The sequence below is a fragment of the Homo sapiens genome, chromosome 16 (assembly GCF_000001405.40).
Source record: "Homo sapiens chromosome 16, GRCh38.p14 Primary Assembly".
Classification (NCBI taxonomy): Eukaryota; Metazoa; Chordata; class Mammalia; order Primates; family Hominidae; genus Homo; species Homo sapiens.
In genome coordinates, this window is record NC_000016.10 from 24,711,346 (window position 1) to 24,737,408 (window position 26,063).

The 26,063-nt window shown below is 43.0% G+C and overlaps 1 protein-coding gene across 48 annotated transcripts in view, besides 1 other annotated feature; it reads left to right on the forward strand.

Moving 5' to 3' along the window:
• The window catches only part of TNRC6A (trinucleotide repeat containing adaptor 6A), a 216,014-nt gene that overhangs the window by 101,141 nt on the left and 88,810 nt on the right, over positions 1-26,063 (forward strand). For 19 of the 48 annotated variants that reach the window (NM_014494.4, NM_001330520.3, XM_047433917.1 and 16 more), the window contains exons 1-2: positions 18,306-18,501; positions 18,908-18,955. The exons of 14 other annotated variants lie outside the window; for them this stretch is intronic. In NM_014494.4, the coding sequence (NP_055309.2) occupies positions 18,497-18,501; positions 18,908-18,955 (53 nt within the window). In that variant the 5' untranslated portion in view covers positions 18,306-18,496. Of the gene's footprint in view, positions 1-18,305; positions 18,502-18,901; positions 18,956-26,063 lie in introns of those variants that run through there. 15 more of the 48 variants (XM_047433911.1, XM_047433919.1, XM_047433928.1 and 12 more) reach the window with 2 other exon arrangements.
• Positions 18,335-18,644: a silencer, noted in NCBI's record as "silent region_7288". NCBI's record gives its function as "represses an Ori minimal core promoter by ATAC-STARR-seq in GM12878 lymphoblastoid cells {active_cell/tissue: GM12878}" and the evidence as "EXISTENCE:reporter gene assay evidence [ECO:0000049][PMID:35858748]".

Sequence of the window (26,063 nt, forward strand, 5' to 3'; positions counted from 1 at the left end):
ATATTTAAAGTGTGTAATTTAATAAATTTTGACATATATAGAGAGAGCTGTGAAATGATCGTCACAATAAAGAAAACAAACATATCCATCATCCCCAAAAGTATTTTCCTCCGTTTTTGTAATCTTTTCCTCTCACCCTTCCCCTGCAATCTCCCCATCCCCAGGCACCACTGACATTCTTTCTATGACTATAGAATAATTTGCATTTTCTAGACTTTTGTATAAATTAAATCATGCAATCTGTCCTTTTGGGGGAGTCTGGGTTCTTTCTCTCAGTATTATTATTTTGAAATTCATCCATGTTATGTATTTAAATAGTTCCTTTTTATTGCTGAGTAGTATTCCATTATATGGACCTTTCATTTTATGTGACTTAGCTGACTTTAAACTTACATTCTGGCTATTGTTGTCTATTTGTCCCATTTGTTCTTCATTTCTGTTTTCCTTTTTTTGTTTTTGCATACTTTTTATTTATTTTATTTTATCATTTTTAAAAATAGAGATGGAATCACACTATGTTGCCCGGGCTAGTCTCAAACTCCTGGGCTCAAGCGATCCTCCTGCCTCAGCCTCCCAAATTGCTGGGATTACAGGGATGAGCTGCTATGCCTGGCTTCTTTCTTAATATTTTTAGTTCAGTAATTTTTATGATTCAATTTTATTCCTTTGAAGACTGCCAAGACCATTCAATGGGGGGAAACATCTTTCAGCAAATGGTCCTGCGAAAACTAAATATGCACATGCAGGAGAATGAAGTTGGATCCTTACCTAATACCATTTTATTCCTTTGTTAGTTTATGAACTGTAACTTTTTTTGTTTTTAAGAGAGACTCGGTGTTCCTGTGTCTCCAAGGCTGGAGTGCAGTAGCATGATCATAGACCACTGCAACCTCAAGCGATCCTCCTGCCTTGGCCTCCCAAAGGGCTGAGATTACAGGCATGAGCCACCACACCCGGCTGCTGTAACACATATTGTGTTATTTTGCTGGTTGGGGTGGGGCTTATATATACATTCTTAGCTTATCATAGTCTACCCTTAAACAATAGCATACCCCTTGGTAAATAGATCATATGACAAGATTTCTATTTCTCTCGTTCTAGTTTTTTGTGCTGTTATTGTCTTACATTTTAACTCTGTATATGTTGTAAACGCCTCAGTACATTTGTATTATTTTTGTTTAAAACAGTCAATTCTCTTTAATGACATTTAGATAATAAGAAAAATGTTTCATATTTACCTGTGTAGATAACATTCTTTCATGTATACTTAGATTTCCGTCTCATATCATTTTCCTTCTCTCTGAAGAAGTTTATTTTACGAAGTTAATTTTACCCTTTTTGTTGGTAATACAATCTGCTGGTGACCATTCCTTCAGATTCTCTATGCTTGAAGAATCTTTATTTCTGTTCTGTTTTATTTTGTTTCGAGACAGGGTCTCGCTCTGTCACCCAGGCTAGAGTGCAGTGGCACAAACACGGCTAACTGCAGCCTCAATCTCCTGGGCTCAAGGGCTCCTCCCAGCTCAGCCTCTTGAGAATTTGGGGCCATAGTTATGTGCCACTGTGTGTGTGTGTGTGTGTGTGTGTGTGTGTGTGTGTGTGTGTGTGTGTGTATAGAGGTGAGGGTCTCACTATGTTGCCCAGGTTGGTCTTGAACTCCTGGGTTCAAGCAGTCCTCCCATTTCAGCCTCCCAAAGAGTTGGGATTACAGGTGTATGCCACTGTGCCAGCCCAAGAGTCTACATTTCATTTTCAATTTTGAAAGTACTTTTGCAGGTAATAAAAAATCTCAGCTGGATGCAGTGGCTCTTGCCTGTAGTCCCAGCACTTTGGGAGGCCAAGTGGCTGGATCACTTGAGGCCAGGAGTTCGAGACCAGCCTGGGTAACATGGCAAAACCCCGCCTCTACTAAAAATACAAAAATCAGCTGAGCATGATGGCAGGCACCTGTAGTTCCAGCTACTCAGACAACTGAAGCACAAGAATTGCCTGAACCTGGGAGGCAGAGGTTGCAGTGAGCAGAGATCATGCCAGTGCACTCCAGCCTGGCTGACAGAGTAAAACTCTGTCTAAAACAAACAAACAAACAAACAAACAAACAAACAAAAAAATATATATATATATATGTTACCTTTTTTCTTTTAATGCTTGAAATATGTTGCTCTATTGTTTACTCACTTGCAGTGTTTCTAATGGGAAGTCTGCTGTCATCCTTACCTTTACTCTTGGGTCTATAACATGCCTTGTCTCTGGCTACTTTTAAGATTTTCTCTTAATCATTGTTTTTATTTTAGTTTAGTTTAGTTTTATTTTTTTTTTGAGACAAAGTCTCACTCTGTCACCCATCTTGGAGTGCAGTGGCATGATCTTGGCTTACTGCAACCTCTGCTTCCCAGGTTCAAGTGATTCTCCTGCCTCAGCCTCCTGAGTAGCTGGGACTACAGGTGTGTGCTACAACTCTGTTCAATCTTTGTATTTTCAGTAGAGATGGGGTTTCGCCATGTTGGCCAGGCTGGTCTTTAATGCCTGACCTCAGGTGATCCACCCGCCTCAGCCTCCCAAAGTGCTGGGATTACAGGCGTGAGGCAGCGCACTTGGCCATTAATCATTGTTTTTAAACGATTCAATTATGATTTGCCTTGGTGTCATTTTCTTCACATTGTGTGGGTATGTGTGTGTCTGTTTGGGGCTTGCTGACATTGTTGGATCTGTGGTTTATAGTTTTCATGAAACTTGGAGAAAATTGTACTATTATTTCTTTAAATCCTTCTTTTAGTCCCTTGTTCTCTCATTTAGGGTCTCCTATAACCCATATAGGTTGTTCCACAGCTCACTGGTGATCTGTTCATTTCACATTGGGGCTTTTTTTCCTGTCTTCTTCGCTTTAGATAGTTTCTTCTGCTATGTCATCAGATTCACTGATCTTTTCTTCTGCAGTGCCTGATTTGCTGTTAATCTTTTTTTTTTTTTTTTTTTTTTTTGAGATGGAGTCTCACTCTGTCGCCCAGGCTGGAGTGCAGTGGCGCAGTCTTGACTCACTGCAAGCTCCGCCTCCCAGGTTCACACCATTCTCCTGCCTCAGCCTCCCGAGTAGCTGGGACTACAGGTGCCCACCACCAAACCCGGCTAATTTTTTTTTAGTAGAGATGGGGGGTTTCACTGTGTTAGCCAGGATGGTCTCGATCTCCTGACCTGGTGATCTACCTGCCTTGGCCTCCCAAAGTGCTGGGATTACAGGCATAAGCCACTGCGCCCAGCCTGCTGTTAATCTTATCCAATTCTGTGCTTTTTTCTTCTCAGACATTGTAGTTTTTACCTCCAGAAGTTTAAGTCTTTCTTTCTAAAATATCTTTCAGGGCTTTGCTTAACTTTTAGGATATATGAAATACAGCTCTAATAACTGTCTTGATGTCCTTTTCTTCTAATTTTAGCACCTGTGTCATTTCTGGGTCAGTTTCAAAGAGCAAAATTTTCTCCTCATTTCAATAATATTTTCCTACTTTTTTGCTTATCTGGTACATTGTAGTTTTTTTGTTTTTTTTTTTTTCTGGGATGGAGTCTTGCTCTGTCACCCAGGCTGGAGTGCAGTGGCGTGATCTCGGCTCACTGCAAGCTCCACCTCCCGGGTTCACGCCATTCTCCTGCCTCAGCCTCCCGAGTAGCTGTGACTACAGGCACCTGCCACCACACCCGGCTAAGTTTTTGTATTTTTAGTAGAGACGGGGTTTCACCGTGTTAGCCAGGATGGTCTCGATCTCCTGACCTCATGATCTGCCTGCCTCAGCCTCTGTAGTTTTTATATTTATATAAATGTTCTACAGATTTGTTCTGGAATACACTTAATTACTTGAATGCAGCTTGAATCTTTTAGAAATCCCTTCCTTTTAAAACTTTTATTTTTTAATTTTTTGTAGAGACAAGATCTCACTTTATTGTCCAGGATGGTCTTGAACTTCTGAGCTCAGGTGATGCTCCTGCCTCAGCCTCCCAAATTGCTGTGATTACAGGCATGAGCCACCATACCTGGCCAGAAATTCCTTTTAAGCCTTGTTGGGCACAACCAGAGCAGCATCTGTTAAGAGTTAACTTTGTCCCACCACTGATGCAAAACCCTCCTAAGTACCATACCTAATGTCTGTGAATTACAAGGTTTTCTACTCTGCCTGATGGGATCAGAAATTATTCCAAGCTCTCTGTGAGTCCCAGATACTGTTCCTTCTAATCATTTTGGGTGGTTCTTTTCCATTCTTGAGTAGTTTCTTTTTTTTTTTTTTTTCTTTTTTTTTAATTAAGACGGAGTCTCACTCTGTCTCTCAGGCTGGAGTGCAGTGGCATGATCTTGGCTCACTGCAACCTCCGCCTCCCAGATTCAAGTGATTCTTCTGCTTCTGCCTCCCAAGTAGCTGGGACTACAGGTGCATGCCACCAAGCCTGGCTAAATTTTTTCATATTTTTAGTAGAGACGGGGTTTCCCTATGTTGGCCAGGCTGGTCTCAAACTCTTGGCCTCAAGTGATCTGCCCACCTTGGCCTCCCAAAGTGCCGGGATTACAGGCATGAGCCACTGTGCCTGGCCCATTCTTGAGTAGTTTTATGGCATGCATGTACTACACAGTTTTTAGCTAAAGACCCAAGCATGACCATCCATAGATCTCTGGAATTCTCTATCTGTGTGGTTCTCTCCTCTTTGGTACTCTGACCTGCAAACTAGCCACTTTGGTCTCTACAGACACCGAGATACATTGCTTCAACTCAAGAAGTCCACTGTGCTTGGGTTTTCCCTTCCTGTGCCACTGTACCAGTACCTGGAAACTCTCCTCAAGCAGTAATCTAGGGCAACCATTAGGTCCACCTCATTTCTTTCCCATCTCTTGGGGCTCACTGTCCTCCTTTGCTTGATGTCTAATGTTTTGAAAACAGTTGTTTTATAAATTTTGTCTGCATTTTTAGCCGTTTCAGGAGGGAGGGGTAAATACAGTTCCAGTTACTTCATGTTGGCTGGAAACAGAAACTGTTATTCCTCATCAAACATATAATGAATGGGCTGGGTGCAGTGGCTCACGCCTGGAATCCCAGCACTTTGGGAGTCCAAGGCGGGTAGATTACTTGAGGCCAGGAGTTTGAGACAAGCCTGAGCAACATGGTGAAAACCCACCTCTACAAAAAATACAAAAATTAGCCGAGCGTGATGGTGCACGCCTGTAGTCCCAGCTACTTGGGGAGCTGAGGCAGAAGGGCCATTTGCACCTGGGAGGTAGTCAAGGCTACCATGTTCACGCCACTGCATTCCAGCTTGGGTGACAAAGTGAGACCGTCTCTCAAAAGAAAAAAAAGTCTGGGCATGGTGGCTCGCACCTGTAATCCTAGCACTTTGGGAGGCTGAGGCGGGCAGATCACAAGGTCAAGAGATAGAGACCATCCTGGCCAACATGGTGAAACCCCGTCTCTACGAAAAATACCAAAAATTAACTGGGCATGGTGGTGCACACCTGTAGTCCAGCTACTCGGGAGGCTGAGGCGGGAGGATCACTTGAACCTGGGGGCAGAGGTTGCGGTGAGCCAAGATCGTGCCACTGCACTCCAGCCTGACAACAGAGTGAGACTCCATCTCAAAAAAAAAAAAAGAAAAAAAAAAAAAAGAAAACTTGAATGAATGAATAGATGAACTGATTAATAAATGAATACATTTATTTCTGTCTGTATAGATACACAGTTTCCTATGTTATTGTGATAATTGCTATTATTTATTTATTTATTGAGACAGGGCCTCACAATGTTGCCCAGAGCTGGAGTGCAGTGGTGCAATCACGGCTCCTTGCAGCCTTGATCTCCTGGACTCAAGTGAACCTCCCTGACCAGCCTCCCAAGTAGCTAGGACTACAGGCATGAGTCACTGTACCTGGCCTCATTATTTATTTTAATGTTCAAGTTATCCTCTACTTAATCAGTAGGTATAAGAATCATTACATATAAGAATGCTTAATGTAGCATTTCTCCAATTCTCCAATGTACATTCTCCAATGTAGCAAAATTCATAGACTGAGAGCAAAGGAGGACAGCCTCTAAGGAAAAGCTGGGCGCCATTATCAGAAAAAGTAGGGAAGCAACCAATGATTATTTTAGCAATGAATATCCAAAGGACCTAATAAGAGGCAGAAGTACCCACTTTATCCTCGGTGAAACAATGAATGTGCCTGTGGTGGATCTGGCGGCAGGCCCGAGCATCATGGAAAGAATGTTATTTGCATTTGTCAGATAAAGCAAAACCCAGGAGATCCCAGAGACCACACAGAAGTCTAGGAGAATCCAATTCTTGCTGACAGTCATGATATTAACAAACAGGGTAAGAAACTGGAGAACAACGATGCTTGTTGTCACGTCATTTAACTCCTTGGAAGAAAGACAAGGTTCATCTTTTTTTTTTTCTTTTTTTTTTTTTTTTTTTGAGAAGGAGTTTTGTTCTGTCACCCAGGCTGGAGTGCAATGGTGCCACCTCGGCTCACTACAACCTCTGCCACCTGGGTTCAAGCAATTCTCCTGCCTCAGCCTCCCAAGTAGCTGGATTATAGGCGCGTGCCACCACCCCCAGCTAATTTTATATTTTTAGTATTTTTAGTAGAGACAGGGTTTCCCATGTTGGCCAGGCTGGTCTCGAACTCCTGATCCCTGGTGATCCACCCACCTCAGCCTCCCAAAGTGCTGGGACTACAGGCATGTGCCCCCACGGCCTGCCTGTTCATTCTTCGTATTCAACAAATATGAATTCCAAACTTAATACTTCCCAGGCACTACTCTAGGTACTGGAGAATACAACACTGAATGCAGCAGACAAGTCTCCACTCCCAGAAGCCTTCTCTGCTGGCAGTGCCTGGATAAAATGAGTTATCTCACGAGAGCATGTGAGATTCCAGCCCTAAATGCTCAAGGCGTTCTTTTCAGAGGACTGTGTTTCCACCTGAATAGGAGGGGGCAGGAATGATAGCTATATTTCTATTGGTACTTGACTCACATCTGTATTCTTATGAGATCCAGAGCATTTCAGGGAAGGCTTACCAAGGGAGGTAGCATTTGAACTGGGCTTTGAAGCAGGAGTTTGTTAGGTAGACATAATAGGAGAGGACTTCCATTCAGAGGAAATAACATGTTCAAGTCATAGAGGCTTTGAAAAACACAATAAACTAGTAATAATTCACTATTGCTGAAGCACAATATAGGGATTGTCAGAAATATGCCAGGTTAGGTAGCAAGAGTTCTTGAAGAATCTTTTACGCTACACAAGGGGTTTCAGGTATAATTCTATAGAATGTAGCCATTCAAGAATTCATAGCACCAGCAGGACCTTATCAGATTAACTAGTTAGAAAGACCTCTTTGGTGGTGATGTGGATTTCTGGATTGAGAGAGATAAGCAGGCTGGGTGCAGTAGCTCACACCTGTAATCCCAGCACTTTGGGAGGCTGAGGCGGGCGGATCACCTGAGGTCAGGAGTTTGAGACCAGCCTGTCCAATATGGTGAAACTGCGTCTCTACTAAAAATACAAAAATTAGCCGGGCATGGTGGTGGGTGTCTGTAATCCCAGCTACTCAAGAGGCTGAGGCAGGAGAATTGCTTGAACCCAGGAGGCGGAGGTTGCAGTGAGCCGAGATCGCACCACTGTACTCCAGCCTGGGTGACAGAGCAAGACTCTGTCTCCAAAAAAAAAAAAAGAAAAGAAAAAGGAAAAAAAGAGATAAGCAGACTATGGAAAATTATTTATTCATTTAATAAGTATTATTGAGGGCCTAATATGTACTAGGCATTGTGCTAGAGGTGGAGATGTACTGATGACTAGGCAGATATGGCCTTTGCTCTCCTGGCGCTTACAAAAAAATCAGGAGTACCAAAGATTAAACAAAGCCAGGGGCAGTGGCAGACACTTGTAATCATAGCACTTTGGGAGGCCAGGGTGAGAGGATCATTTAGGCTCAGGAGTTCAAGAGTTTGAGACTGGGCAACGTAGGGAGATCCTATCTCTACAAAAAATTTTAAAAATCAGTTGGTGCTGGGCTTGCTGGCTCACGCTTGTAATCCCAACACTTTGGGAGGTGGGTAGATCACCTGAGGTCAGGAGTTCAAGACCAGCCTGGCCAACATAGTGAAACCCCATCTATACTAAAAATATAAAAATTATCTGGGTGTGGCGACAGGTCCCTGTAATGCCAGCTACTCAGGAGGCTGAGGGTGAGAATCACTTGAACCTGGGAGGCAGAGGTTGCAGTGAGCTGCAGTCATGCCACTGTACTCTAGCCTGGGTGACAGAATGAGACCCTATCTCAAAAAAATTAAAAAAATAAAAAAAAAATAAAAATTAGTTGAGTGTGGTAGTGTCCGTCTGTAGTCCCAGCAACTCAGGAGGTTGGGGCAGGAGGATCACTTGAGCCCAGGAGTTCAAGGCTGCAGTGAGCTATAATTGCACCATTGCACTCAAGCTCAGGCAACAGAGTGAGACCTTGTCTCAAAAAAAAAAAAAAAAATTTAAACAAGCGACAGTAATATTTCATTAGAAATGTGATGAATGCTATGAAGGTGTAGAGGATGTCTTTAGAATATATAACTGGGAGGGAGACCTTTTGAGTTAAGGCAGGTGCTGGTCAGGAAAGTCCTGAGGAAGTTACATTTGGATTGAGAGGGGAAAGATGAGGAGGAGCAGGCTTGCCTGAGGCATGGTAGGCAAGAGAGAAGGACTATAAGATAACATCAGGGAGATGTTATAGAACATGTTAAAGGTATCAGGCTTTAAATCGAGAGCCCTGGAAATCCTTTCTACTATTTTAAGCAGAAAAGAAGATGATCTCACTTTTCCTTTTCAGAAAAATTACCACTCTGGCCAACATAACAAGGCCCTGTCTACAAATAATAATAATAAACATTAGCCAGGCATGGCAGCTCACACCTGTAGTCCCAGCTACTCAGGAGGCTGAGGCAGGACGATCACTTAAGCCTGGGAATTGGAGGCTGCAGTGAGCTGTGATCACACCCGTCTGGGTGACACAGCTAGACCTTGTCTCAAAAAAAGAAAAAGAGGTCAGGTGTGGGGGCTCAAGCCTGTAATCCCAGCACTTTGGGAGGCCAAGACAGGCAGATCACCTGAGGTCAGGAGTTCGAGACCAGCCTGGCCAACATGGTGAAACCCCGTCTCTACTAAAAATACAAAAAAATTAGCCAAGCATGGTGGCAGGCTCCTGTAATCCCAGCTACTCAGGAGGCTGAGGCAGGAGAATCACTTGTGGCTGGGAGGCAGAGGTTGCAGTGAGCCGAGATCATGCCATTGCACTACAGCCTGGGCGAGAAGAGCAAAACTTCATCTCAAAAAAAAAAAAAAAAGAAAGAAAGAAAAAAAAAAAAGAAAAAAGAAAAAGAATTAAGGCTGGGCTGGGCTCAGTGGCTCACGCCTGTAATCCCAGCACTTTGGGAGGCTGAGGCGGGTGGATCACGAGGTCAGGAGATCGAGACCATCCTAGCTAACACAGTGAAACCCCGTCTCTACTAAAACAAACAAACAGAAAAAAAAAAACAAAAAAATTAGCCAGGCATGGTGGCAGGCACCTGTAGTCCCAGCCACTCGGGAAGCTGAGGCAGGAGAATGGCATGAACCCGGGAGGTGGAGCTTGCAGTGAGCCGAGATCATGCCACCGCACCCTAGCCTGGGTGACAGAGCGAGACTGTCTCAAAAAAATTAAGGCTGCTGTATGGAGAACGGTGTTGATGGGCTAAGAATGAACACCTGCAAAGCTGCTGAGGAGAGGCAGCAACTAGAACTCTTGATGAGGTTGAGATGCAACCGGGTACAACCATTTTAGACATGTTTTCTAGTTTCTTATATAGTCAAATATACACTTACCTTGTGATCCAGTAATTCTATTTCTGGGTATTTATCCAAGAGAAATAGAAACACATGCCCACTGTCCACAAAAATAGACTTGTACAAAAACTGTTCATACCAGATTTACTCATAATAGCCCCAAACTGGAAACAACCCAAATGTCAATTAACACAAGGAAGAGGCTGGGTGCGGTGGCTCATGCCTGTAATCCTGGCACTTTGGGAGGCTGAGGTGTGTGGATCCCTTGAGCCCAGGAGTTTGAGACTAGCCTGGGCAACATGATGAAAACCTGTCTCTACAAACAATAATGATAGTAGGGCCAGGTGCCATGCCTTATGCCTGTAATCCCAGCACTTTGGGAGGCTGAGGCGGGTGGATTGCTTGAGCCCAAAGAGTTTGAGATCAGCCCGGACAACGTGGCAAAACCCCATCTCTACAAATAATACAAAAATTAGCCCGGCCTGGTGGTGCATGCCTTTGGTCCCAGCTACTCGTGAGGCTGAGGTGGGAAGATGGCTTCAGCCCGGGAAGTGGATTATTATTATTTTAAAACAAAAGGATGAGTAAACAAACTGTGGTATATCCATTCAACAGAATACTTGGCAGCAATAAAAAGGAACGAACTTAATACACGCAATCATATGAATGACTCTCACAGGCACGTTTAGCAAGAGGAGTCAAGCCCAAAAGAATATACACAGTATGACTTCATTTTTATGAGGATCTAAAACAGACAGCACTAATTTGTGGTGATGTGAATCAGAAAAGCGGTTTCCTGGTGGTAGGTGTCTGTGGGAGGACAACAGGTGAGTCACTGAGAAGGGGCGCGAGGGAATTTTCTGTAGTGATAAAAGTGTTCTATATAGTGATTGTGGTAGTCGCTACATGGGCATATTTATTGGTCAAAATGCATTACATTTTTCACTTTAAAAGTGTGAGTATGCCTGTAACTCCTGTGCTTTGGGAGGCCAAGGTGGGAGGATCACTAGAGGCCAGGCATTGAAGACCAGCCTGAGCAACACAGCAAGAACCCATCTCTATAAAAAGTAATAAAAAATTTAGCTGAGCATGGTGACACACACCTCTCATTCTTGCTACTTGGGAAGCTGAGACGGGAGGATCAGTTGAGCCCAGGAGTTTGAGGCTGCAACGAGCTATGATTATGCCACTACACCCTAGCCTGGGTGACAGAGCAAGACCCCAACTATTTATTTATTTATTTACTTATTTATTTATTTATTTATTTTGAAACAGAGTCTCACTCTGTCGCCCAGGCTGGAGTGCAGTGGCATGATCTTGGCTCACTGTAACCTCCACTCCCGGGTTCAAGTGATTCTCTACGTCAGCCTCCCAAGTAGCTGGGATTACAGGCACCCGCCACCACACCCGGCTAATTTTTGTATTTTTAGTGGAGACAGGGTCTCACCATGTTGGTCAGGCTGGCCTTGAACTCCTGACCCCAAATGATCCACCTGCCTCGGCCTCCCAAAGTGCTGGGATTACAGGTGTGAGCCACAACTCTTAAATAAAGTGTGACTTTTATTGTATACGAATTATACCACCACAACAAAAAAGAGGCAAAGAGAATGAATCTTTGGAGTTTTAGGGGTGTTCTACGGTATGGCAGTGGAGAAACACAGGAAGAGAAGACAAAGAAAGCAGATTAGAGACCAGACGAGTTGCTTATACATTGCATGAGAGGCAGGGAAGAGTCAGAACTAACACTTAGGTTTCTGGCTGGGGCAGCTAAGTGACTGGTGGTGTTATTACCGACTTGGGGGAAAACTGGGAAAGGGTCAGGTCCATATAGGGTGTTGGTTGGGTCAAGGGAGGAATGAGGAGGCTAAATTTTGACATGTCAGCCTGAAATACCCAGGAGATATTACGTGGGCCCATTATGCCACACTCATCCTGTTTCTCTCTTGCCTTGCTGGTTTCTTCATTACAGTATCAGATTTTCCAGGATTCATTCCTTGGCTCTTCTCATCCTCCACAGCAATGGTTCTCAATAAGTAACACTTCACCTCCACTCCGCAGAGGGTTTGGGGGAAATGACTGCAGTGTTTTTGGTTGAGGGGAGATGTGTGCTATTAAGAGTCCATGGTGGCAGGGCGCAGTGGCTCATGCCTGTAATCCCAGCACTTTGGCAGGCTGAGGCAGGAGGATCACCTGAGGTCAGGGGTTCAAGATGAGCCTGGCCAACATGGTGAAACCCTGTCTCTACTAAAAATACAAAAATCAGCTGGGTGTGGTGGCATGAGTTTGTAATCTCAGCTACCTGGGGGGCTGAGACAGGAGAATTGCTTGAACCCAGGAGGTGAAGGTTGCAGTGAGCCAAGAACGTACCACTGCACTCCAGACTGGGTGACAGAGCAAGACTCTGTCAAAAAAAAAAAAAAAGTCAGTGGCTAGAAGTTGTGGATGCTGGACAGAGTTAATTCCACAAAATGAGGAATTCCTCCCTCACTGGACATTCACACAGGTAAAAGGGATGTTTATAATTATCTGAATACCTAACTTTTTTTTTTGTTCCATTTTAATTATTGCAAAATTTCCAGTAATGCAATTATCACATAAATTGAGAGACAACTGTTTCTATTTGTTCAGAACTTGACTGAGAGTTGTTCTCCATTCCAGAAAAATTATGTCTTCAGCATAACTACAGTTCTTGATGTGTGAGTAATCAATTCATCACTGCTGTGACTATTTATAGTAGTGATAGTACACATAGGTGTCAAGACCTAGCTACCCCACTGCATCTTCTAGTGTAGACCTCTTCCAAACATTTACATAATGAAAGACATTTTATTTTATTATGGTTACTTTTATTTCTCTTTTATATCAGAGATGTCAATATGTATGTATTGTGAAATTATGTCTTAGGTAAATTAAGACATAATTATCCATGATTATCATGTTGGGATAGAAAGAGGTGGTGTTACAAAACATTTGTTATCAAAAGGGGTATAGGATATAATATGGTTAAGAAAAACAGTTCTGTAATGTAGCGGGCTCTGGAAGCAAATCATTTGAGTGTTTGTTTGTTTGTTTGTCTGTTTTATCATTTACTATTTTAATATGACATTGAGCAAGTTAATTACCCCCATCTGCAAAGTGGGGATAATATTTCTACCTCACATGGCTATGTGAAAGCAACAATTAATAATTAATTAATATTTGTGAAGCACTTAGAACAGAGCCTGACTGGCACATATTAACTTTCAAATACATTTTAGTTAAATAAGATAAATACACTTGGCTGTGCGTGGTGGCTCACACCTGTAATCCCAGCACTTTGGGAGGCCGAGGCAGGCGGATCACCTGAGCTCAGGAGTTGGAGACCAGCCTGGGCAACATGGTGAAACCCCATCTCTACAAAAAATACAAAAAGTAGCCAGGTGCAGTGACTTGCGGCTGTAGTCTCAGCTACTTGAGGCTGAGGTGGGAGGATCACTTGAGCCCAGGAGGTGGAGGTTGCAGTGAGCCGAGATCGTGCCACTGCACTCCAGCCAGGGTGACAGAGCAAGACCTTGTTAAAATAAATAATAAATAAATAAATAAATTCTCTCCAGGAACTCATATCCACGTTCATGTTTATACATTACTGTGAAAAAATTTTAAAATTTAAAAATATTATGCATGAGCCTTGCCTAAAAAAAATACCTATATATCTCACAATGCTGTTTGGTAAAGCCTTGGGAGGAAAACAAAATCTTTTCTTCCAAGTACATAATTTCCAAAGTATTAGGCTCATCATTTGCCCTTCTCAGTAAGAGAAGGAGGAGAAGTTAGAGAACATCTTTGTCCTGATAACTTCAAAAGCCACAGGAACAAAGACAAATGGAGAAAAAGGGCTTATTTAAAATTAAATTTGTACAGCGTGTTTCTCTTTACAGGACCTTGTTTCTGGTTCCATTCCTAATGGATTGATGCAAGTAAAATGAAAATGACAACACTAGCAGTTTCATTTATTTATTTATTGAGAAAAGGTCTCACTCTGTCACCCAGACTGGAGTGCAGTAGCATTATCTTGGCTTACTGCAACCTACCCCCTGCCCCAGCCTCAAGCGATCCTCCCACCTCAGCCTCCTGAGTAGCTGGGATTACAGATGCACACCACCACACCTGGCTAACTTTTGTATTTTTAGTAGAGATGGGGTTTTGCCATGTTGCCCAGGCTAGTCTCGAACTCCTGAGCTCCAGCAATCCATTTGCCTCGGTCTGGCAGATTTAAAGCCAAATACAATATGAAGCCTGTTTCCCTCCGCACTGATAACCCACAAATGTAACCATAAATGTAACCCTCCAGCCTGAGACCCCCTCCTCTCCCCCTCCCCAGCTCCTCTCTCCATTCTCAGGTGAAGCTTTACATTTTCAAAGAAACATTCTTTGTTGCATAATCAATGTTGTGTTCCTTTGTTTTACACTTTCTTAGAGCAACATTCCTATCCTTCTGTGCACTTGCCATAGTTTGTAATTATACACTTTTTGTTTGCTTAAGAAAAAAAAAAAATCGGCCAGGCACGGTGGCTCATGCCTAACCCCAGCACTTTGGTAGGCCGAGGCGGGTGATCACTTGAGTCAGGAGTTCGAGACCAGCCTGGCCAACATGGTGAAACCCTGTCTCTACTAAAAATACAAAAATTAGCCAGGTGTAGTGGCACACGTCTGTAATCCTAGCTGCTGGAGAGGCTGAAGCAAGGGAATCGCTTGAACCCGGGAGGCAGAGGTTGCAGTGAGCTGAGATCATGCCACTGCACTCCAGCCTGGGTGACGGAGCAAGACTATGTCTAAAAAAAAAAAAAAACAAATCTGTCTGCCTTGCTAGACTTCATCCACCACTGTAGTTCCTCACAAGAACCAGAGAAGCCAGTCCTAGCACAGTGCCTGGCACATAGTAGGTGCTCAATAAATACTGTGTGAGTGAATTGTCATTTTGGCATTCAGGGGTACACAGGTGAGACAACGGTTAAGGTTTAAATCTGAGAGTAATCTGCATTCAGAGAGTACTTAAATACAAGAGAATAAATGAGATTACCCATCCTAAAGGGAGAGTAGAGAAGGGGGAAGAACAGAAGTCTGGAACAAAGCCTTGGGAGTGGGGAGATCTCCAACATTTATTTGATATAAAACAGAAGATGTTAGCAAAAGATACCAAAAAAAAAAAAAAATGGCTAGAGAGGTAAAAAGAACTCCAGAAGAATATACTGTCAGGATGGCCTAGCAAAGAGATTCTCTTAAGAAGGAGGGAGAGTTAGGTTGTGGCAAATGTAGCTAAGAAGTAAATCAAGATGAGGACAGACATGTTTCCATTGAGTTTGGCACCCTCAAAGTCATTTGCGACCTTCATAAGAGCAGTTTTGCAGGAGGGATGGGGATATCAGGTTAAAGAGAGCTGGGAGAAGGAGGAGAGCCAGTGGAAGGTGCTTGTGTTGAACAGTTTCCCAAGAAAGCATTGTTGGGAACGAGAGCAGAAAAATGGAGCTGGAGAGGAATGACGCATCAAGGGAGTTTTGGGCTTTTTGCTTTTTAATGAAAGTTACTAGAGTTTGTGTGGTGATGGGAAATATTCAGTAGAGAGAATGATTACTTAGTAAAAAGAAAAGATAGTAACAGGAAAAGATCCCTTAGAGGGTCCCACATAAGGAATCAGTGCTGATCTTATATTGTCATTTTTCTTCGATGTATGCACCAAGTTTAAGTAAGAGATAATTTAAAAGTGACTAGCATGACCTCATATAAAACACTCTACATTGCAGCCCAGGAGGGCTCAGATGGGATGTCCAATCACTGTCAACAAACCTTCTGGAAATCACATCTTTTTTTTTTTTTTTTTCCCTAAGGTGGAGTTTCACTGTTGTTGCCCAGGCTGGAGTGCAATGGTGTGATCTCAGCTCACTGCAACCTCTGCCTCCTGGGTTCAAGCGATTCTCCTGCCTCAGCCTCCCAATTAGCTGGGATTACAGGCATGCACCACTATGCCTGGCTAATTTTTTATTTTTACTACAGGCCGGGTTTCCTCATGCTGGCCAGGCTGGTCTCAAACTCCTGACCTCAGATGATCTGCCCACTTCGGCCTCCCAAAGTGCTGGGATTACAGGCATGAGCCACCGCGCCTGGCCAAGAAATCATATCTTATTAGCTTTGCTGGAGCTGGGAATTAGTTCCAGGCTTTCTCAACCTTGGTGCTATTGGCATTTTGGTTCAGATACTCCCGTGTTGTAGGGGACTGTCCTACGCATCGTAGAATATTTAGTAGAATCCCTGGTCTGTAGCTATCAGATACCAATCAGTAGCATCCAGTGTGACAACCAAAAAGTTCATTGCTAAATGTCCCCAGGGGTAGGGATGGGGGCAACATTGTCCCAATTAAGAATCACTGAGTCATTAAAACCTAAAAAAGTCTAATAAAAAAAAAATCAGCCAATCTTAACAGCTGTGCAAATGTTGATAAATATGACTGTTTTCATTGCCTTATGTTGTTGTGAAAAATTATTCCTAAACCTGGTATGAAAGCATATTGTGCCATTACGTATATGTTCATATTTTTAAACTCCTAATGAAACACCATAGTAACTTTTAAACATTTTAAGTAGAAAGGATTATGAAAGAAAAACAAATATGTGTGTAGGTAAATGAACCTCAGGGATGATAGCAGGAAAAGGAAAGTCACTAGCATTTATTCGGTGCCCACTACATTTTATATTTTGTAAACCTGATTTTTTTTTTCAAAAAAGTGTTTTTTATATGCTCATCGCAAAAAAGAAAAAAACAGATACACTAAAAGAAGAAAATGAAAAAAAGTCATAATCAGTTAACGTTTTGGTGCATATGTTTCATGACTTTCTGTGCATTCATTCACTAGCTTAACCTATCGGAGAGGACAGGAACCCAACATGTCTAGGGAAGTTTTGTTTGTTTTTAACGGGAGAGATTCAAGCATGTTGTAAAGCCAGTTGAAGCTGGGCGCGGTGGCTCACGCCTGTAATCCCAACACCTTGGGAGGCCGAGGGGGGCGATCACCTGAGGTCAGGAGTTCAAGACCAGCCTGGCCAACATGACGAAACCCCGTCATTACTAAAAATACAAAAATAGCTAGGCGCAGTGGTGCGTGTCTGTAATCCCAGCTACTTGGGAGGCTAAGGCAGGAGAATTGCTTGAACTCGGGAGGCGGAGGTTGCGGTGAACGGAGATCGCGCCACTGCACTCCAGCCTGGGAGACAGAGCGAGACTCCGCCTAAAAAAAATGATAATATAATAAAAAAATAAAAAAAAAAGCCAGTTGAAGAACTTAGGTTAGAAAAAGGAGAATGGGATGATCCACAGAGTGGGGTTTCTGAGAAAGTAAAGGTTATAGATTTTAAGCACAGAGGAGGAATTATCTTTAAATTAGAAGAAAAAGCTTGATGAGAGGTTGGAAAGAACACACGCAAGTGAAAATATGTATCTTACTGTATCTACATGTATGTGTATTGTTGTATCTACCTGCAGATATGTATGTCTTATTGTATCTACATGTAGGTATGTATGTATACTTTTAATGTACACATATGCATCTGTGTCTACATATATACATATCTTAGTCTATCTACATGTATGTATCTTACTGTGTCTACACTAAGATGTTTCTTACTGTGTGAGCTACGTTGGAACCTGCTTTTTCATTTATTCTATTGCAACCATTTCCTCCATGCCGGGATTATTCCTCCACATCATTTTTACAGTGTCCTAATACATGCCAGTAGCTGTTTTTGAAGCCATCTAGTAGCGCTGGACATTTTGGCTGTTTGCAATTTTTCACCATCATCAATACCACAGCTTAGTATCTCGAAGGTGAAATATTTGCAGATACCCAGAATTATTTCCTGAGCAGAAAATCCGTGCAGGCGGAACTGCTGAGTCAAAGGTCGGTGGATAAAAATCGCTTTTAAGCCTCACAACCCGCCTCAGGTATGCATTCTTTACCTGAGGAGGAACAGAGAAGCAGAGAGGTTAAATAACTGGCCCAAGGTCAAAAATAATTAGAAGTGGCTGAATTCAAAAGCCGCGCGGGCTCATCAGGCTGCAGTTGGGGTAAAATTTGCGTTTTAGGCAATTTTTTTTTTTTTTTTTTTTGGCGTGTGTCAGTGGGGGAGGGGCCGGGCGGCGGGTAGGAAACTTGTGTCGCAGCAAAGAAGGAGGAGGAGGGGAGGGACTCCCCTCCTCGGTCAGACCGGAGCCGGCCGCACCGAAAAAGGTTGGACTCGGGACTCCGCAGGCCCCCCCAGCCACTCCGCGGGGCGCCTCGGAGGCTGTGACCTCCAGGGAGGTCCGGCTGGGTGCAGCGTGACACGCCGGGGCGGTTGCCAAGGACCTGCCCAATCTGCGGGTCCAGTTGCTAGGGCCTCCATCTTGGGGGCCAGTGGCCGTGGCGCCCCCGGAAGGGGTTGCCGAGTGGGGCATTCACTTCCGGTCTGGGGCCTGCGGCGGCGGCGGTGTCGGCGGCGGCGGCGGCGGCGGCGGCGGCGGCGGCAGCGGGTCGGTGTAGAAAATGGCGCTGGTGCAGCGGCTCGGGCCTCTCCCCGCGGCGCTGCGGAGGGCTTGAGGCTCGCGAGCCTCCTTCGCCGCGCCCCACTTGCTCGTGCACTTTACACACATGAGGTGAGCGGAACAAGGGCCTCCCTCCGGGCGGGAGGAGCCGCGGGCGCTGCCGCAGGGCCCGCAACCCGCGGCGGCGGCAGCAGAGGCGGCGGCGCCGGGCGTCCCCGAGACTTCGGGCCTCGGCGGGAGGGCGCAGGCTGCGTTGCTGCGGAGGCCGAGCGGGCGGCCCGGGGGAGCCTCGCTGCGCCGCGCCGCGGGGGCCAGGCCGGGGTTGCGCCTCGCCCGCGCCGCGGGACCGCAGTCCGGGCTGCAGCCCCGCAGCTTTGTGAGTCCCCCTCCCCCCGTCCTCTCCCCTCCCCCATCCGGCCCCGGCGCGAGCCTCTGCCGCAGCAGCTCCGTTTTCACGCGCATCTCGTTTTTGTGTGTGTGTTTTTGTTTTGTTTTTGTTTTTGTTTTTTTGTTTCAGAGAATTGGAAGCTAAAGCTACCAAAGACGTAGAAAGAAATCTTAGCAGGTAAGATGGGCGAGCTTTCCGTCTCCCGCCCCACGATAATCGTATATTTCTACTCCGATTCGCCTTTTCTGGGTTGAGAAGTTCCCCCGTGACATTTTCTTCCGCACCCGGAGAGCAGACATTCGGGAGAAGCGGCCTGGGGGAATACTGGAGGGATTGCGGGGAGATGCGTAATTACGCGTGTGTTTCTTTCTTTAAAAAAAAAAAAAAAAAGCGCAAAGCAATTCTTGTAAACTTAGTTAAAGCATTCTCACCCTTTTAGAATTTAATTAGGGGACTTGTGCATTAATTACTATTGTAAATGGTTGCAGGCATTGTGTGACTCATGATTGAGGCGGCCCTTATGGCGGGCTGTCAAACTGTTTTGGCTTCCCCGTTATTACTTTGTAGCTCAAATTGTTGCTTTTATAAAAAGATACTATGTGTTCGCATTCCCCCCCGCCCCCCCCCCCCCCCCATACATTGTAGTCAGGCGGATTCTGTTGCATTGGACACAGTTTTGTCCTTGAACTTTACCAAGCATAAGCTGCGTTTTGTTTTCCTTCGAAACTCCATTTCTGTCCATGTTCGGTGTGTGCTCTTTTTATCAGCTGGTAAAATAATTAAAAATCTTTTCTCCAGAAGAGGTTATCGTTCCTGTTGGGCCCTGCTGCTTTTGCATCACCGTGAAGGGAGAATTTTTTTTTTTTTTTAAACGATGTCTTTATGGAATGGAAATATTTAGCTTCATTGAGCTGTAATTGCTTAAGCATCAAGGAATTGTACTGTATTTAACTCCTTTTCACATTCATTTTCTTTCCTACCGTCTTTTCCTTTCTTATTCCCCTTTTTCTTTTGCATCATATTGGGACACTCAGGGAAACTTAGCCAATTAACCAAATCCGTGAATAGCTTTCTTTTTTTCTTTTTTTTCACTTGTTGAAAATAAAATGAAATTTCTCCTATCTCAGGTTTTAATGTAGTTTGCTCTTGATGATTGCGGGTTTTAGGTTTACATTGGGGTTTTTAACACTCACATTTCAAATCGTCTGAATATTTTGCACCGCGTAGAATTGTTCCAAATTGCTGGCCTATTGAGTTTCATAAGATACTAATCTGTTCAGGTGATCGTTAAAGAATGTGTTCAGATGGTGAAGGATAGGCATCATTGGTTTACCCAGTAAGGGATTCTCTGTTACTCAAAATAATTATGGGATCATTTAAAGGAAATTAAGTCTGACATCACTGACTATTTGTGGTATATTTACATAAATTTTGTCAAAATCTAGTAAGGAAATGTTAAGATATGAAACCATTAAAGAAAACAGGTTGAGCCATTAAGGTGTAATATCAGCAGAACAGAGCTTAGAGGTCTGTTTCTCCTTCCATTTTTGTTTTATCAGGTAACTATATCAGTATAATTCCTATGAAGGTGCTCTAGTACTTAATTAAAAATTGTCTGTGCCACAGGTATAATTTTAATATTAGGTAGAACTCGAGTCTGGGTTGGCTATTTATCAGAGTTTGAATTCCAGCTCTGCTACTTGCAATATGACCTTGACTCTTGGCAAGTCACTTAGCCTCTCTGTCCAATCTATAAAACGAGCGGCGTGGGCCAGCCAGTTGCTGAGGTCTGTTAGGCCCTTTGGGTTACATAAAAGGAGTAAAGTGCTGTCCGTGTTCACAGAGGGCATGTACAGTCTAGTAGAAAGACTATCATAAATGCATAAATAACAGTAGTACTAGGTAGATGACGTAGGAATCAAAAGATACCATCCCATTCATGTGCTTGAGAATATTCAGTCGGTCAGAAGGCATGAAAGGAAAAACAAATATCAAAGAGATTGTAAGGCAGTGTGTACTAAGGATCCAATGAGAGGGGAGCATTTCTTGCAGGTTAAAAGTGTTCTGAGGAAGGAGAGAGGTGATTAGGTGGGCAGATGCTTCCTTCATCTCCATCTCTAGCTGTGTTTCCTTTTTCACAAAAAAGAATGTATCTGTCTTTACCCATAGTGCTCTCTCCAGGAAATCAAGGCATTGTATTCATTGAGTAACCATTTTTTGAGCATTTTCGATATTTCAACTGTGGGACTGGGCACTAAGCCAGGGAAGAATGTAAGTAGTTAAATTTATTGATTGCTTACTATGTGCCTGGCACACTTTTCCTAAGATTTTACATGGACTCATCTGATCCTTGAAAAACCCTGTGAGGTAGGTAGTATTGTTATCTCCGTTTTACAGATGGAGAATTTGATGTATAAAGAGGTTAAGTAACTTGGAGGAGACCATATCACTGGTAATTGGAGTAACTTTTTAGGCTTCGAACTTGCAAAATTTGAAAATTTCTTTTGGTAGGCGGGACCCACAGATGCATGCAATACTTCTAGATCAGTTTTTTCATCTGGGCACTTGACATTTTGGACCAGATAATTTATTATTTTGAGGGTTGTTCTGTGCATCACAGGATGTTCAGCATCCGCAGTAGCACTCCCCGTCCAGTTGTGACAATCACCAATGCTTCCAGATATTGCTAGATGTCCCTGGGAGTGGCGCAGAATCGACCCTGGCTGAGAACCACTGCTCTAGATCTTCATTAGGAATTGTAACGTGAAAGCCTCCAAACTTTTAGATGTTGAGTTAATTTAAACATCTTTTGGTCGAGTGCTGTGGCTCACACCTATAATCCCAGCACTTTGGGAGGCCAAGGCAGGTGGATTGCTTGAGGTCAGGAGTTCGAGACCAGCCTGGCCAACATAGTGAAACCTCATTTTTACTAAAAATACAAAAATTAGTTGGGCGTGGTGGCATGCGCCTGTATTCCCAGCTACCCGGGAGGCTGAGTCAGGAGAATTACTTGAACCCTGGGAGCGGAGAGCCGAGATTGTGCCACTGCACTCCAGCCTACTTGACAGAGTGAAACTCTGTCTGAAAAAAGAAAAAAAAATCTTTTAATAACATGGAAGCCTAGACCCTATTATGTAGATCCTCAATTTGGAAGCCCTGGTTTCTGAATGTCAAAGATGTGTTGCCATTCTCCTTTTCCTCTGCTAAGCTGCAAATCCTCAAGACAGTGTGCCTGGTAGCCAGTGCCAGTTAAACAACATTGGCACAAATAATAAATTTAGTTTACTATCATAGGTAAACTGTCTTTTAAAATTCACAGTTGGCCATTAAAATTGTCACATTATGTTAGTATCATGGGAGCCATAATATCTACATGAGGGCGATTACCATTAGAACTGAACTTTGAAGAATGGAATCAGTTTTGAAAGGCAGATAAAAGGGCATTGTAAGAACAACAACAGAAGTAAGGACACAAAAATCCAGAAAGTACAGGAGATTTTGATATTGCAGTGGGTAGTTCAGGTTATATAAGGTATTTGTAGCAAACTGGTTAAGGCCAGATATAGAGGTTCTTGAATGTCAGGTTGAGGAACTTGTGCATAAATTTTTAGGTATGGGAGCTATTGCATGCTTTTTGTTGCGTACTGATGTGATAGAATAATCTTCTGGTCTGGGATTACTAACCAGGTGTATTTATGGGAGAAAACTAGCGATCTAGGCAAGAAGCGATGGAGGCCTGAATTGAAGTGGTGGCAAAAAGAGGTGAGTGAGGCTGGACCCAGTGGCTAACGCCTGTAATCCCAGCACTTTGGGAGGCCAAGGCAGGAGGATTGAGCCCAGGAGTTTGAGACCAGCCTGTGCAACATGATAAGACTCTGCCTCTACAAAAGAATTTTAAAAAATTAGCTGGGTGTGGTGGTGTGCACCTGTAGTCCCAGCTACTTGGGAGGCTGAGGTGGGAGGTTTGCTTGAGCCCAGCAGTTTGAGGCTTCAGTGAGCTGAGTTTGTGCCACTGCATTCCAGCCTGGGAAACAGAGTGCAACCCTGTCTCAAAGCAAAAAGAGAGAGAAAGGAAAAAAAAGATGAGTGTATAAGATACTGAGGAAGTTAAGAATCTGGGATTTGACAGCTGATTAGGTGTCAGAGGAGTCAAAAATACATAGGAATCTTCATCATGGGTGAATGAGAGTTTGACCCAACCTCTGAACAGAACAAGTCAGAGCAGAAATAGGAGTTTGGGGAGAGAAGATGCTAAGTTACATTTTGCAGTTGTAAAAAAAAAATCTACCAGTACTGGTCTAGACCAGTAGAACTCAGCTGGTCTAGTCTGAAAAAATATTTTGGAGGCCAGAATCATAGAATCATTGAATATTTAGAGCTGGACTATGACTTTAGATAGAGATCAGCCAGCATTCTGACTTCTTCATTTCTCAAGTGAGAAAGCTGTGGTTGAAACAGATTCAGTAACTTACGCAAGTTTATATTCTCTGTCAAGTGACCCAGCTGGGATTTAAACAGGCCTTTTGACTCTAATTCTAGTATTCCTCCCATGTGCAGTATTTTATTTTATATTGCACAATAGATAAAATATAATTTTGGTTTCTCCTTTTTTATTCTAAAAGAGTAAAAGCAGTTATCTCAATATGTTATGTTCATTCTAGTGATGACTTTACTATCATGTACTAAATGTGTTTTGTTTAAAGTAGAAGTTAACTTCACGTTATACTGATTTGTCCCCCCATAAACCAACTGTATGTCATCATATAACAAAAGTTGTTAAAAGTGCTATATACCATATAATGTTGCATCTAAACTGGGACACTTATCTGAGATGCTTTTGCGTGGGACAAATGCTATATTAGAAATGACTAGGACTGGCCAGGTGCAGTGGCTCACACGGGTAATCCCAGCACTTTGGGAGACTGAGGCACGTGGATCATTTGAGGTCAGGAATTCAAGACCAGCTTGGCCAACATGGTGAGACCCCGTCTCTACTAAAAGTACAAAAATTAGCTGGGTGTGATGGCATGTGCCTGTAATCCCAGCTACTTGGGAGGCTGAGGCAGGAGAATCTGAACCTGGGAGGTGGAGGTTGCAGTGAGCCGAGATTGTGCCACTGCGCTCCAGCCTGGGCAACAGAGTGAAACTCTGTTTCGAAAGAAAGAAAAGAAATGACTAGGACAGCAGGAGTAAAACCCCAAGGCATTAGGTCTCCGTAGCTAAGGTGGATCCCACTCATGCAATTCATCAACCTTTGTCTGAAAAAAAAGAAAGAAAATCTGATTTTGTTAAGCTTTTCTTTTGCTTTGCTGTGATACGGTTTGCAGGCCAACACATGCATATTGCTATAGGTTGGTGCGAAAGTTAATTGTGGTTTTTGCTCATTTTTAATGTACCAACCCAATATGCTTTTTTTCCAGCTTAATTTGGCAATTAGGTGGTAAATCACTTGATAGGATAAATTAATCACAATCTGTAAACTTAATTTAAAAATGTGTAACAACCCTCTGTGGAAAATTTGAATATAAACATCAAAAGAATACCATTCTGTAAGCTCTTTTGATTTTTGGCATCTGAAATGTCTGAAAGTATAAATTGCAAAACATATTTACAATTTTAATGACAACTGCAAAAGTATTGCCCATGATTGGAAAGACTAAAATGGTATGCGTTATATGTATTCTGTTCAGGCTGATGCATGATAAATCTCTCACTGAAAAAACAGAAATCCCTATCTCATTTTAAAATTTTAAAAAATTGGCCGGGCACAGTGGCTCATGCCTGTAATCCCAGCACTTTGGGAGGCCGAGGTGGGCAGATCACTGGAGGTCAGGAGTTCAACACCAGCCTGACCAACATGGTGAAACCCCATCTTTACTAAAAATACCAAAATTAGCCTGGTGTGGTGGCACATGCCTGTAATCCCAGCTACTTGTGAGGGTGAGGGAGGAGAATCGCTTGAACCTGGGAGGCGAGGGTTGCAGTGAGCCGAAATTGCGCCATTGCACTCCAGCCTAGCCTGGGCACAAAAGCAAAACTCTGTCTCAAATAAATAATCAATCATTCTAACCTTAAGCAAAATTGGAAAAATGTTGCAACTAATACCTGTATCTCTTTACCTAGTTTTAGTGATTATTAATATTTTGCCACATTTGTTCTATCGTGACATTGCACACCAAAGTATGGCAGTAGGTATCTCACAGAATAAGGGCATTCTACCTGACAGCAATCAAATGATCACCCACAGGAAGTTTAACTTTACAATTCTGTCTGGTCCCTATTCAGATTTTCCCAATTTTCTCAAAATTTTTTTTAAAGTTGTATTTGTTCTTTCACTCAATTGCTGTATCCTGGGTTGCATTTAGTTGTGTCTGAAGTTTCTCTTACATTAGGAGCATTTTCCTGCCCTTTTCTGCTTCTCTCTTGACAATGACATTTTGAAATAGTCCAGTCTAGTTGTTTTTGCAGACTGAAATTTGCATTTTTTGGGTCTTGTCTGTATGATTAGGTTCAGGTTGACCCTTTTTGGCAGGAGTATCCCATAGGTGATGATGTGTTTGTCTTCAGTATTCCCTCCCCACAGCATTTTGAAGTAAATTAACCGAAAGGTTATCCAATATTCTTACTTCTACACTGACTTGGTGTTTCTTTCATTTTAGGAAATGCCAAACAATTGGTTTAAACCGAGATGTAATTTTAAATATTTGAGGTTACAGTAATTACAGGTCTTTGTATTTAAATCGATCAGCCATAATGATTACTGCTTTTATGAAGATTTATGCCAAAGGTAGCTCCCTTACTGTGGGACATAAAAGTTGCTTGTTTTCAGCTTTGACCAGTGATGAACTGATAACCCTGGTAGGAAAATGAAACATTGGGGCTGGGCTTGTAATACGCTTTCTTAAAAGAATGCCCCATTGAAATTAGAGTGGCACGGTGCCACCAGACCAAGGGTTCTCATCCCGATGCCACAGAGGGACCACAGGTGTTATGAAGTGGTTTGCAAAATTGAATGTATGCCAAAATAAAATAATAAAAATAAAAATAAAACCCCACAACAAAAGCAGATATGGTCTTTAGTGCTCATTAGATCTCAAAGGGTCATTACTCCTCAAAGATTAAGAAACTGCTTCTTTATGAGGAGGTTGTCAGAGGAGCTGAATAGTATCAATAAGAGGAAGATGTTTGAGATTCAAAAGGAAGTAATATTCGACTAAGGCATAGCTTCTTTCCATCTTAAAAAAAAGCCACCCATGAAAATAAATATAGTTTAAATTTCCTATTT